Source organism: Homo sapiens, chromosome 17, assembly GCF_000001405.40.
Source record: "Homo sapiens chromosome 17, GRCh38.p14 Primary Assembly".
NCBI lineage: Eukaryota > Metazoa > Chordata > Mammalia > Primates > Hominidae > Homo > Homo sapiens.
In genome coordinates, this window is record NC_000017.11 from 36,559,695 (window position 1) to 36,574,391 (window position 14,697).

The following is a 14,697-nucleotide window of genomic DNA, read 5'->3' on the forward strand; positions in this document are numbered from 1 at the left end:
AGCAAGGAGACCATTTAGGAGGCCAGCTATTGCAGTTGACTAAGCTAGAGATTGGTGGGTTGGACAGGGATGATAATGGTAGAGGTGATAAGAAGTGATCTGATTCTAGATTGGTTAATTTTTATTTAGCTTTTATTCTATCTTATTTATTAATTTTTTTGAGACAAAGTCTCACTCTGTCTCAAGCTGGAGTGCAGTGGTGCAATCTTGGCTCATTGCTACCTCCGCCTCCCAGATTCAAGTGATTCTCGTGCCTCAGCCTCCTGAGAAGCTGGGATTACAGGCGTGCACCACCACACCTGTCTAATTTTTGTATTTTTTTTAGCAGAAATAGAGTTTCTCCATGTTGGCCAGGCTGGTCTCTTAACTCCTGGCCTCAGTCTCCCAAAGTGCTGGGATTACAGGTGTGAGCCACCATGCCTGGCCTCATTTTAAAATTTTCTGTAGAGATGAAAATTTTGCTATGTTACCCAGGCTGGCTTTGAACTCCTGGCCTCAAGTGATCCTCTTACCTCAGCCTTCCAAAGTGCTGGGATTATAGGCATGAGCTACTGCACCAGGCCTGATTCTAGATAATATTTAAAAGGTAGAATTGGCAAACTTTGCTCATTGGTTGGATGGAAGGTGCGGATAGTAGTAGTGTGTATTCCATATTTGCATAAAAGTTCTGTTGATGACTCCTCTTCAAGGATGTATTGTGTTTACATAATGTTTTGTGAGGTTTTTATATATTTTTTAAAGACATGGGATCTCACTATGTTGCCCTGGCTGGTCTCAAACCCTTGGGCTTAAGTGATCCTTTCACCTCGGCCTCCCAAATAGCCGGGACTACAGGTGTGTGCTTCTGCAACTGGTGTATTTACATAATGGCTGGGCAAGGGAAGATGGCTGAGAGTCAGGTAGCAGTCAGTGTTGAAATAACGTGAGTGCCAGGCACACTGCTAGATACAGTGGGGATAGAGAAAAGTGGTTTTTTTGTGTTTTGTTTTGAGACTTCTCTCTAAAAGACAGTAAATAGAGATTTTAAAATTTGAAAGTAAAATGAATTAAACCCTTAATATGTTTTATTTTTAATTAGGTCCAAACTAAATGACATGATAGATGCTATTCCAAAAAGTAAGAAGAATAAGAGATGTCAGTTGCACTCCTTAGATACGCACAAGCCAAAACCTTTGGGGTAAGTAGAATTGAATACCAAGAGGCTTTGTCATTGTTAAGATTATATATTTGATCATATTTAGTAAAAGAAATAAACCCACTGTTTGCTTTAATTCATTAATTGGTTATACTCTATGACATAGGTCAAAATAAATAGATCCTCTTGTTATGTTGGCCATTTTGCCTTGATATATATAAAGTCTCAATGTAGATCTGATTTAAAAAAATTTTTTTATGTTAAATATGTTTTAGAGGAGGGAGGTTGAAGTCTTTTTTTTTTTCTTTTTTTGAGACGGAGTCTCCCTTTATTTCCCAGGCTGGAGTGCAGTGGCACAATCTCAGCTCACTGCAACCTCCACCTCCCTGGTTCAAATGATTCTCCTGCCTCAGCTTCCTGAGTAGCTGGGACTACAGGTGCGTGCCACCACACCTGGCTAATTTTTGTATTTTTAGTAGATATGGGGTTTCACCCTATTGGCCAGGCTGGTCTCGGACTCCTGACCTCAGGTGATCGCCCACCTCAGCCTCCAAAGTGCTGGGATTACAGGTGTGAGGCACCACACTCGGCCGGTTGAAGTCTTTATGGAAATGTATGCAGCTAATATGAACGTTTTCAAAGTAGTGGTAATCATTATTTGATCTACAGAATAGTCATAATGTATAAATTATTTATCTTTCTTGTCTCTAGCTGTAATTTACCAAGGTTTTAAAAAAAGTAGTTATGACGATATTATGACAATATGTATTTATGTAACTAATTTGTAGTTTTCTATATTTATTATTATTTTTTGAGATGGAGTCTCCTCTGTCGCCCAGGCTGGAGTGCAGTGGCGTCATCTCGGCTCACTGCAACCTCTGCCTCCTGGGTTCAAGCTGTTCTCCTGCCCCAGCCTCCCGAGTAGTTGGGACTACAGGTGCGTGCCACCAAGCCCGGCTAATTTTTTGTATTTTTGGTAGAGACAGGGTTTCACCGTGTTAGCCAGGATGGTCTCGATCTCCTGACCTCATGATCCGCCCACCTCGGCCTCCCAAAGTGCTGAGATTACAGGCGTGAGCCACCGCGCCCGGCCTATTTTATTTTTTAAGCAAATATTGCCTGATAATAATTTGTAGTTTTCTTCTTGATTAAGTGCTATAGTGTCCAAGGCTGCTTTTTCACTTTCTCCCAGCACAGTGCCATAGTTGTCCCCTACAAAATTGCCTGGGGGTGGGGATAGTGAGGCGAAGCCATGGAGTGTGAAGGGACTTTCTAAGACGTGACTTTAGTTTTGGAGAGAATGGGATATTAAAAAACTATACTTCTTTATTAATTTTATCTTTTAATTATTTTTTTGAGACACAGTCTTGCTCTGTCACTCAGGCTGGAGTGCAGTGGTACGATCTCAGCTCATGCAACCTCTGCCTCTTGGGTTCAAGCAATTCTTGTGCCTCAGCCTCCTGAGTAGCTGGGATTACAGGTGTTCGCCACCACTCCTGGCTAATTTTTTTGGATTTTTAATAGAGACGGGGTTTCGCCATGTTGCCCAGGCTGATCTCAAACTCCTGGCCTCAAGTGATCTGCCTGACTTGGTCTCCCAAAGTGCTGGGATTACAGGCGTGAGCCACTGCACCTGGCCTCTGAAAAGTTAATTTTTAAATATCTCATTTGTGTCATTGTCACCTTTTTTTGATTTTTTTTTTTTTTTGACCTGAACTTCCGAGTTACACCATTATTGTATAGACATTTTCCTCCCTGACACAAAGACTTGGATGACCAGGCAGTGGTATGTTAATAATCTATTAAGTTTTTTTCCCCTATACCGAGCAACAAAAAATATTTAAAACATTTTATCGGCCGGGTGCAGTGGCTCATGCCTGTAATCCCAGCACTTTTGGAGGCCGAGACGAGCAGATCACAAGGTCAGGAGTTCGAGACCAGCCTGACCAACATGGGGAAACCTCATCTCTACTAAAAATATAAAAATTAGCCAGGCATGGTGGCACACATCTGTGATCCCAGCTACTTAGGAGGCTGAGGCAGGAGAATTGCTTGAACCCAAGAGGTGGAGGTTGCAGTGAGCTGAGATCGTGTCGCCTGGGCGACAGAGCGAGACTCTGTCTCAAAAAAAAAAAAAAAAAAAAAAAAAAAAAAGGCTGGGCGTGGTGGCTCACGCCTGTAATCCCAGCACTTTGGGAGGCCAAGTTGGGTGGATTCTCTGAGGTCGGGGGTTCGAGACCGGCCTGGCCAACATGGTGAAACCCTGTCTCTACTAAAAATACAAAAATTAGCCAGGCGTGGTGGCAGGTGCTTGTAATCTTAGCTACTTGGGAGGCTGAGGCAGGAGAATCGCTTGAATCCAGGAGGCAGAGGTTGCATTGAGCCAAGATCGCACCATTGCACTCCAGCCTGGGCGACAAGAGTGAGACTTTGTCTCGAAATAAATAAATAAATAAATAAAATAAATTTTATTAGTAAAATTGTCAAACATAGAAAAGTAAAAAATACAATGATTGAACCTCCCATGCACTTTTACCAAGATTTAGTAGTAATCAAGAGTTGCCACACTTGCTTCATTTATCCACCTTTTTCTTTGTATTTTAAAGCAAGTCCCAGGCTTCGTGTTACTCTATTGCATCCTTCCACATGCATCTCTAAATATATGGACATTTTTTTTCACACATTGCCATCATAACACCTAACAAAATTAAGTGTAACAATCGAATACCCAGTTCATACTTAGATTTTACCTGTTTCTGGTTTTTTTTTTTTTTTTGAATGTTGGTTTGTATGAATCAGGATCCAAACAAGAACCACACATTATGTTCTTGTAGCCTGAAGAAAAGAAGTTTTCTTAAGGATAGTTGTTATTTTGCTGCTTGATTTGTCAGTATCTTTTTTTTTTCTTTCTTTCAAATTCTTTTTTTTTTTTTGAGATGGAATTTCCCCTGTCACCCGGGCTAGAGTGCAGTGGCGCGATCTCGGCTCACTGCAACCTCTGCCGCCTGGGTTCAAGTGATTCTCCTGCCTCAGCCTCCCAAGTAGCTGGGATTACAGGCACCTGCTACCATGCCCGGCTAATTTTTGTATTTTTAGTAGACACAGGGTTTCACCAGGTTGGCCAGGCTGGTCTCGAACTCCTGACCTCAGGTGATCAACCCGCCTTGGCCTCCCAAAGTGTTGGGATTAACAGGCGTGAGCCACGGCGCCTGGCCCAATTTGTCAGTATCTTTTAAAAATTTTTTATTTTTTATTTTTTCATCAGCTCATTCTTCCTTCTCAGATTTGTCAGTAGCTTCAGAGAATTTCTGACTCTAAATGCAGAGTACAGGCTAATTTTTCACATTAGAGATGACCTGTTGGCTGAAGGCCTAAAGTGGTATGATACAGTAAAGAGCTTGCCTTCTGGTGCTTTTTTTCTGTTAAGCATATTCTTTGTTGATGAACTGAGAAGCAAGTAGCCCAGCATTTTATGCATCTGTGTTCATTGCTGCCTTCCTTCAAAGACCAATCCTTCCACTCTTGCTCTGCACTCCATTTTCTTTGTTTTCAATCACTTTGCTTATTCAGTTACCTACTTTTGTTAAATTTACATTCAGCTCTGTTTTCCTATCTTTCAGCTTAAGAAACAAAACAAACCTCCACAGATTTTACATCCCCTTCTAGCTACAGTTCCACTACATGGGAAGTCATATGTTTTAGAAGGCTGTTTGCTGAGTATGGAATCAGTGTGAATGGACTTAATTGATCTTAAGTGGTGTCTGTCTCTTGATTAAGGTAGCTTCAGTTATTCCCACAGGCCACATAGAATAGCAGGCTAAGCAGTACAGTATGCTTAGCCAAGGCTCCCTCTCCCTTGGATGGTCACCACTATTAAATGCTACTATGATTCTCCATTTTATGTATTTCCACTCCCCCTCCTGCTGCTACATCCCCACCCCCCATAGCTTTTTTAATTTGTTTAGTCTATTTCCAGAGAAAGTATAATACAGTTGATTAGGTTTTAGCCTAATAAATAGAAATCTAGGTCAGCCTTTCTGAGAGTATTCTCTCATCTATGCAAGTAAACCCAGGTTATTGTCTGTCTGGGAGTAAGTTTGAGATCTGGAAGAAAGATCTAGGCTGGAGTTGTAGGCCTGTAGTTTATCTTAGAGAATGTTATGTAAGATCACCTAAAGGGAAAGAGAGTAAAAGAATTCTGAGGAATTTAATGGTAGAAAAGAAATTAGTAAAGAAACCTGAGAAAGAGTAGCCAGATAGGTAGAAGGAAGCCAAGGTGTAAAAGCGTTCCAAGGAAGTCTGATCAACTATATTAAATGCGGCCAAGTTATCAAGGACCCAAAAGTGGACATTGGATTTAGTAACAATGAGATAATTGGTGATCTTGAAGAGCTGAGCTAGTGATTGAGTGGAAGCAGAATCCAGGTTGCAATGATTGAAAAGTGAATGCAATGTAAGGTTGTCATGGATTAAGCTGTGAATGGAGAGTATGGGAGCAGAATCAGAAAGTGGAAAGGTTATTTTTTTGGAAAGTTTGATCTTAAAAGAATAATAGAAGGCATAAGGTCTAGAATGTTTATAAATAAAATCCTGATTTGAGATACAGATTTTTTTTATAGAGCTTTTTTTTAAAAAAAAAATGCCTTCACATTCTAATGATATAATAATCATTCTTTAGCTGATTTCTCTTTATGAACCTTTCCCTCAATTATGAGAGCTTGAGTTTGAGAGTTTTTCAGTTCTGGGAAATTATGCATTATACTGATCAAGTATAGTTAATAAAAGGGGCTGGGCGGGGTGGCTCACACTGGTAATCCCAGCACTTTGGGAGGCCGATGCAGGCAGATCACGAGGTCAGGAGTTCGCGACCAGCCTGGCCAATATGGCGAAACCCCGTCTCTACTAAAAATACAAAAATTAGCCAGGTGTGGTAGCACACGCCTGTAGTCCCAGCTACTTGGGAGGCTGAGGCAGGAGAATCGCTTGAACCTGGGAGGCGGAGGTTGCAGTGAGCCGAGATCACACCACTGCACTCCAGCTTGGGCGACAGAGTGAGACTCTGTCTCAAAAAGGAAATATCAGAGTTGAGAATAGAAGGATGTAGCATGGAAAGTGGAACAGATGATGTTTTTGTTGTCACAAATAAGGGGAGCTAAACCTTGGCCTGAGCCCTTGTGAGAGGGAGTACAGAGCTGAATTGTGTGGATAACTTACATTTTAGGCAGAGGGTTGAGAAATACCCATTTAGCTACATAGAGTAAGTTAAAAGTTCAGAGGTTTTTCCGTCTCTGGCGTCCAAGGTGTAATGAATTCCTTGGACTGTACTGAGACCTGCAGAAGAACAGACAGGAGCCAGTTGTTCAGAATCATGAAAAATCAAGAAGGCTGTGATTGAATGGAGTGTAAACCCACATTTCCCTTGGAATGCAGGTCCAAGATAAATGTGCTGCAACAAAGCAAAATGTGTGGCAATTTTCATACTGAAGTTGAACCCTGTTGGGGAGGGAGAGTGGGAAGTTTTTAGTAAGTTTGTTAAAAAATTGTATAGGGCTGGGCTTGGTGGCTCACGCCTGTAATCCCAGCCCTTTGGGAGGCTGAGGTGGGTGGATTGCTTGAGCTGAGGAGTCGGAGATCAGCCTGGGCAACATGACAAGACCCTGCTGTCTCTACTTAAAAAATACAAAAAATAAAAAAATAAAAATAACCTGGTGTGGTGGTACACGCCTATGGTCCTAGCTATTCGGGAGGCTGAGGTAGGAGGATCACTTGAGCCCCTGCAGGGGTGGGGTTGCACTGAGCCAAGATCACGCCACTGCATTCCAGCCTGAGTGACAGAGCGAGAATCTGTCTCAAAAAAAAAAAAATTACCACATAGTTCTTATTAATTTAGGCTGTATAAAGTGTTCGTCTTAGTGTACTATCTTTTAGTAAATGTAAAACTTATTCACTGTAATTAATCTATGACCTTCCCAGCTACTTATACATGTGAAGGTAGATGATAGTTTTGTTACCATGGTTTAGCTTTAAAAAGGAGTGATTACAAAAAAAAAATTGAGCTGAGCATGGTGGCTCACACCTGTAATCCCAGTGCTTTGGGAGGCTGAGGTGGGAGAATGGCTTGAGGTCAGGGGTTTGAGGCCAGGCTGGGCAACATAGTAGAGACCTTGTCTCTACAAAATAAAAGTAAAAAAAAAATTACTTGATGATGATCTCATTAAGTAGATCAAAACTTCTTAGAATTTTCAATTTGTGGAAGATTGGTCTGTGTTTAAAAGGGAAAATACTTGATAATTTTTTCGGTCATTTTGACTTTAGAACATTCCAACTATATTTGCTCATAGAATACTTAGTTTATTAACCAGTTGCTCTCTTGATAACTACAGATGTTGTTAAATTGTATCAGATAAACTTGATAGTCAAGCAGAAGTTTTTATATAAAGATATGAGCACACATTTAAATGAACGTTATATTAATATAAAGTGAGTATGTAATCATATAATTTGTAAACATGTTCTAATATCTTAATCATTAAAGTGTTCATGATTTTAATTTAGACTATAGAAATTATTTCTTCAGATTATCTCAGTGTCACTAAGCTTTGTACTATACTACGGTGAAGGGAGCAGTAGCAGTGTCAGTTCAGAGAAGTTAAGTACAGATGAGAAATAGTGAAGGCCACAGGAAGGACGGCAAGTATAGGATCATTTTCCATTATGGACGTTTCCAGGGAACAGCCAGGTAAAAACAAGCAATACTTTAATCTGTTTTTTGTTTTTTTAAGGTTTTACCCTTCTGTATTCTCCCTTTTCACTAATATTTGTTCTTTCTACAGAGGTTGTTGGATGGATGTATGGGAACTAATGTCGCAGGAATGCAGGGATGAAGTAGTTTTAATTGACTCGAGTTGTCTTTTAGAAACACTAGAAACATATCTGCGAAAACACAGGTAAGTCTGATGGTTGTTCCAGTATAATGTGGAAGGTGCCTTATGTGTCAGTCACCTAGAGTGGCCTGTCACTGAACTCCTTTGTATAATAGCATTCTAGCCTTCCCTTTAATACTTGGCACTAGGCGGAGCTTAATATTAGAGTAGGCAGTTCCTTTTTTTTTTTTTGAGATGGAGTCTAGCTCTGTCGCCAGGCTGGAGTACAGTGGCGCGATCTCGGCTCACTGCAACCTCTGCCTCCCAGGTTCAAGAGATTCTCCTGCCTCAGCGTCTCGAGTAGCTGGGATTACAGGCATACGCCGCCACACCCAGCTAATTTTTGTATTTCTAGTAGAGATGGGGTTTCACCATGTTGGCCAGGATGGTTTAGATCTGCTGACCTTGTGATCCACCAACCTCGGCCTCCCAAAGTGCTAGGATTACAGGCATGAGCCACTGCGCTTGGCCAAAGCAGTTGCTTTATGGGATGACTCTCAGGGTTAGCCTTCTTGTGTTAAGCCAGCATCTCCTATTTTGTGATTTTTTTTTTTTTCTTTTTGAGACAGAGTTGCACTCTGTCACCCAGGCTGGAGTGCAGTAGCGAGACCTCGGATCACTGTTCCCTCCGCCTCCCGCGTTCCAGCGGTTCTCCTGCCTCAGCCTCCTGAGTAGCTGAGACTACAGGCGCATGCCACCACGCCCGGCTAATTTTTGTATTTTTAGTAGAGACGGGGCTTCGCCATGTTGTTCAGGCTGGTCTCGAACTCCTGACCTCAGGTAATCCATCTGCCTCGACCTCCCAAAGTGCTGAGATTACAGGCATGAGCTGTGCCCAGCCTATAATGGCATTTTCAAAATTAAATTAGTAGCTTTTTACTTAATATTTGAAGTATTTCTTCTGTCATTATCAGGACCCCAAAAGAGAGTTGATATTCATGTGTTTTGTTACTATAAAAGTAACTTCAGATTTTTCTTTATAGAACACTACTTTTACAAAGGAATTTTCTTTTTTTTTTTTTGAGACGAAGTCTCGCTCTGTTGCCAGGCTGGAATGCGCTGGCTCGATCTCGGCTCACTGTAACTGCTGACTCCCTGGTTCAAGAGATTCTCCTGCCTCACCCTCCCAAGTAGCTGGGATTACAGGCACATACCACTGTGCCCAGCTAATTTTTGTATTTTTAGTAGAGATGGGGTTTCACCATGTTTGCCAGGATGGTCTCAGTCTCCTGACTTGTGATCCGCTCTCCTCAGCCTCCCGAAGTGCTGGGATTACAGGTGTGAGCCACCGTGCCTGGCCTACAAAGGAATCTTCTAAGTGTCATTAACATTTGGAAATTCATAGGGAGGAGACTCCAGTAGAAAAGGAAACTGGTGGGCAGGGTGCGGTGGCTCACGTCTGTAATCCCAGCACTTTGGAAGTCTCAGTCAAGTGGATCACCTTAAGTCAGGAGTTTGAGACCAGCCAGGCCAACGTGGCGAAACCCCGTGTCTACTAAAAATAAAAAAATTAGCCAGGCATGGTGGCACGCACGTGTAGTCCCAGCTACTTGGGAGACTGAGGCAGGTGAATTGCTTGAAACCAGGAGGTAGAGGTTGCAGTGAGCCAGGATCGTGCCACTGCACTCCAACGGAGCAAGACTCCGTCTCAAAAAAAGAAAAAGCAACTGGTAAGGTAACAGCATCTAGAGATGGTGTTCTTGGGGCAGTTCTACTGTTTAAATTTGTTACAAGTTGCGTTTGTGGTTGTATGTCCTTTGACTTTGAGGCAGATATACACAATTATTTTGGGAGTGCCTCTAAAAATCAAGTGAATGATAAAAACTGGTGTCATTACTTTATGTGGCAGTAAGCTAATGACTTCGCCCGCATACCAAGTTTATTGGTGTTTTTCTTTTTTCAATTAAAAACTTTCTTTCTTTGCCTTTTTGGTGGATTATGCCCAAGAGAGTAGAGAATGTGTCACTTACTTGGAGTTTTACAGGGACTATACAGACACAAAACATATATCCTTCCTCTTTAAATATGAATTGATCCTCCCAAAAGATAGTTTTTGCAGGTGATAAATGACAAGTTATTAGAGCACATGTTTTGGAGTTTCTTATAATGGTTTTGTAGATTTTCCTATGTTTAGGGTTAGTGTTTTAACATTTTTAGATGGATTTTAGTCCATTTTACAGATATCTTAACGGTTGTGAGAAAGTATGGTTGAGAGTAATAATAATTAAGGCAGTGAGTGATGAATTTAGGGAGATTGTATTGCATCTGGATTCTACTAATTGTAACTGTACAAGTTAGTTGACTTTCTGTGCCTCAATTTTTGTCTTCTTTAAAACAAACATAGGCTGGGCATGGTGGCTCACAACTGTAGTTCCAGCACTTTGGGAGGCCAAGTCAGGTAGATGGTTTGAGCTCAGGAGTTTTAGACCAGCCTAGACAACATGGTAAAACCCCGTCTCTACAAAAAAGCAGAAAAATTAGCTGCCATGGTGGCACAAACCTGTAGTCCTAGCTACTGGGGAGGGTGAGGTGAGAGTATCACTTGAGCCCAGGAGGTTGAAGGTGCACCATGATCACAGTGGCCGTGATTGTACCACTGCACTCCAGCTTGAGCAACAGAGTGAAACGCCATCTCAAAAATAATAAAAATTAAAATAAAATTAGCAGCTGGGTGCAGTGGCTCATGCCTGTAATCCCAGCACTTTGGGAGGCCAAGGCGGGTGGATCACCTGAGGTCAGAAGTTCAAGACCAGCCTGGTCAACATGGGGAAACCCCATCTCTACTAAATATACAAAAATTAGCTGGGCGTGGTGGTGGGTGCCTATAATCCCAACTACTCAGGAGGCTGAGGCAGGAGAATCGCTTGAACCCAGGAGGAGGCAGAGGTTGCAGTAAACTGAGATCGCGCCATTGCGCTCCAGCCTGGGCAACAAGAGTGAAACTTCGTTCCCAAAAAAACAACAACAAAAAAAGAATTACGGTAGAGGCCGGGCATGGTGGCTCATGCCTGTAATCCTAGCACTTTGGGAGGCTGAAATGGGCAGATCACATGAGGCCAGGAGTTTGAGACCAGCCTGGCCAACATGGTGAAACCCCTCTCTACTGAAAATACATAAATTAGCCAGGCATGGTGGTGCACTTCTGTAATCCCAGCTACTCAGGAGGCTGAGGCATGAGAATTGCTGGAATCTGGGAGGCAGAGTTTGCAGTGAGCTGAGATTGTGCTACTGCACTCAAGCCTGGGTGACAGAGTGAGACTCTGTCTCAAAAGAAAAGTATTACGGTAGAACATCGGCAGATACTACACTTGATCTTAGTCAAAAGGCTGAGACGTGATAGAACATCATTAGAAATGAGGTGTTAATAAACTGAAACCTCTGCCTTAAGGGTTTTTTAAGGCTGGGCATTGTGGCTCAAGCCTATAATTCCAACACTTTGGGAAGCCAAGGCAGGAGGATCACTTGAGTTCAGGAGTTCAATACCAGCTTGGGCAACATAGGGAGGCCCATTTATAAAGGCTGAGTGTGGTGGCTCACTCCTCTAATCTCAGCACTTTGGGAGGCGGAGGTGGGTGGATCACAAGGTCAGGAGTTCAAGACCAGCCTGGCCAACATGGTGATACCCCGTCTCTACTAAAAATACAAAAATTAGCCGGGCTTGGTGGCGTGTGCCTGTAATCCCAGCTACTCAGGAGGCTGAAGCAGGAGAATCACTTAACCTGAGAGGTGGAGGTTGCGGTGAGCCAAGATTACGCCATTTGCTCTCCAGCCTCGGCAACAGCAAGACTCCATCTCACAAAAAAAACAGGCCGGGTGCCATGGCTCACGCCTGTAATCCCAGCACTTTGGGAGGCCGAGGCGGGCGGATCATGAGGTCAGGAGATTGAGACTATCCTGGCTAACACTGTGAAACCCCATCTCTACTAAAAAATACAAAAAATTTAGCCGGGCTTGATGGCGGGCGCCTGTAGTCCCAGCTACTTGGGAGGCTGAGGCAGGAGAATGGCGTGAACCGAGGAGGCGGAACTTGCAGTGAGCCGAGTTTGCGCCACTGCACTGCAGCCTGGGCGACAGAGCGAGACTCCATCTCAAAAAAAAGATAATAGTAAATAAAAATAAATAAATAAATATAAAAACAAAATAAAAAAATTAGCTGGGCGTAGTGACACACCTGCAGTTTCATCTACTCGGGAGGCTGAGGTGGGAGGATCACTTGAGCCCAGGAAGGTTGAAGGCTGCAGTGAGCCATGATCATGCCACTGCACTTCAGCCTGGGTGACAGAGTGAGACTCTGTCTCGAAAAAAAAAAGTTTTAAAAAAGTCATATGCAATGCTGCTTTTGCAAATGGGAAAAAAGCTTTTACGGCTTTTATATCCTATTTTTAACTTGCTATTTACTTATGCTTATAGTTGTACAATCAAACATATATTAAACTACTATGAGAGTATAAAGCAGTAAAATAGGGGGAAAATATTTCAAGTTTTATTATTGTTCTCTTTGATATTTGACCATTTAATTACCTGAAAATGTGAACTTGCTGTTTATAACCTGAAAATGTGGAAGTATTTGTTGTTATTTCTGTGTCCGTTTTTTCTCTCCTAAAGGAGAGACTTTCTGTTCCTGCGCGCGTATGTGTATATTTTAAAAGAACACAAAATAAGGCTAAGCACAGTGTCTCACAGTTCAGCATTTTGGGAGACTGAGGTGGGCGGATTGTTTGAGCCCAGGAGTTCAAGACTAGCCTGGGCAACATGGCCAAACCCTGTCTCTCCAAAGAATACAAATATTAGCCATGCGTGGTGGCACACACCTGTAGTCCCAGGTACTCAGGTGGATGAGGCGGGGAGGGTCACCTGAGCCTACTAGGGAGGTTGAGGCTACAGTGAGACAAGAGTATGCCACTGCACTCCAGCCTGGGCAACAGAGTGAGACCCTGTCTCAAAAAACCGTGAAACATAAATTTACCTTTCAAACAGTTTTTAAGTGTACATTATAATTTTGTTAACTATATGCACATTGTTGTACAACAGATCTCTAGAACTTTTTCATCTCAACTGAAACTATACGCATTGAACAACACCTTTTTTCTCCCCTCACCCCCTAGCAACCACAATTCTTCTTTCTGTTTCTGAGTTTAATTATTTTAGATAGCTCATATAAATGGGATAATGTAGCACTTGAATTTTTGTGATTGGCTTATTTTACTTAGCCATTATCTAAGACAATACTTAGATAATGTCTAAGATTCATCTATGTTGTAGCATATGACAGGATTCCCCTCTAAAAGCTGAATAATGTCACAATACTGTGACATTATTTAAAAATGGGCAGTGTCATAGTATATGTGATATTATTCACTTTTCTTTTTTCTTTTTTTTTGAGACAGTCTCGCTCTGTTGCCCAGGCAGGGGTGCAGTGGCTTGATCTCGGTTCACTGCAACCTCCGCCTCCCGAGTTCAAGTGATTCTCCTGCCTCAGCCTCCTGAGTAGCTGGGATTACAGGCACACACCACCACACCTGGCTAATTTTTGTGTTTTTAGTAGAGACAGGGTTTCACCTTGTTGGTCAGGCTGGTCTTGAACTCCAGACCTCAAGTGATCCATTCGCCTCGGTCTCCCAAAGTGCTGGGATTACCGCACCTGGCTATTCACATTTCTTTGTCCATTCATACATTGATGGACATTGAAGGTTGCTCTCACATTTCGCCTGTTGTCAATAAATGCTGCAGTGAACATGAGTGTGCAAATATCTCTTCAAGATCCTTGCTATCAGTTCTTTTGGATATATACCTAGAAGTGGGATTCCTGGATCGTATGGTAGTTTTATTTTGAAGAACTTCCGTACCGGTTTCCATAGCAGCTGTACCGTTTTATATTCCTGCCAGCAGTGCATAAGGGTTCCAATTTCTTCACATCCTCAGTAACACTTGTTATTTGTTGTTGTTGTTGTTTTGATAGTGGTCATTCTAGTTGGTTTAAGGTGATATCTCATTGTGTTTTTGATGTGCATTTTCCTGATGATTAGTGATGTTGAGCATCTTTTCATATGTTTGCTGGCCATTTGTATATAATCTTTGGAGAAATGTCGATTCATGCTTTGCCCATTTATTTATTTACTTTTAAGTTATTTTATTTTTTTGACAGGATCTTCTTTGTTGCCCAGGCTGGAGTGCAGTGGCATGATCACGGCTTTGCCCATTTTTAAATTAAGCTATTTTTTTTGTGATTGAGTTCTAGTGGTTCTTTATATTCTGGCTATTAACCCCTTATTCAATATATGGTTTGCAAATATTTTTTCCCATTCTTTGGGTTGCCTTTTTACTCTGTTGATCATCTTTGCTGTGCCAACGTTTTTAAGTTTAATGCATAGTCATGTGCTATGTGATGACATTTTGGTCAGTGATAGACCACATATATGACAGTGGGCCCGTAAGATTATAATGGAGCATACTGCGTTGCAGATCAAGTAGAGGAAATGATTAATATTCAGTGATGGTGCTGGGACATTTGGTTTTCCATGTGAAAAAAATATAAATAAAAATATGTATACTACCTAGGTTTGTGTAAGTACACTCTGATGTTCGCACAGCAACAAAATAGCTAACAATGCATTTCTCAGAATGTGTCCCATTGTTAAG

The 14,697-nt window shown here is 41.9% G+C and overlaps 1 protein-coding gene across 7 annotated transcripts in view; it reads left to right on the plus strand.

Annotated features, from left to right (window-relative positions):
- GGNBP2 (gametogenetin binding protein 2) overlaps positions 1-14,697 on the plus strand; it is a 44,930-nt gene that overhangs the window by 14,776 nt on the left and 15,457 nt on the right. For 4 of the 7 annotated variants that reach the window (XM_005257689.4, NM_024835.5, XM_011525265.4 and 1 more), the window contains 2 exons: positions 1,079-1,177; positions 7,969-8,082. In XM_005257689.4, coding sequence (XP_005257746.1) covers positions 1,079-1,177; positions 7,969-8,082 — 213 coding nt within the window. The remainder of the gene's footprint in view (positions 1-1,078; positions 1,178-7,968; positions 8,083-14,697) is intronic. The other 3 variants (XM_011525266.3, XM_047436774.1, XM_047436775.1) reach the window with 1 other exon arrangement.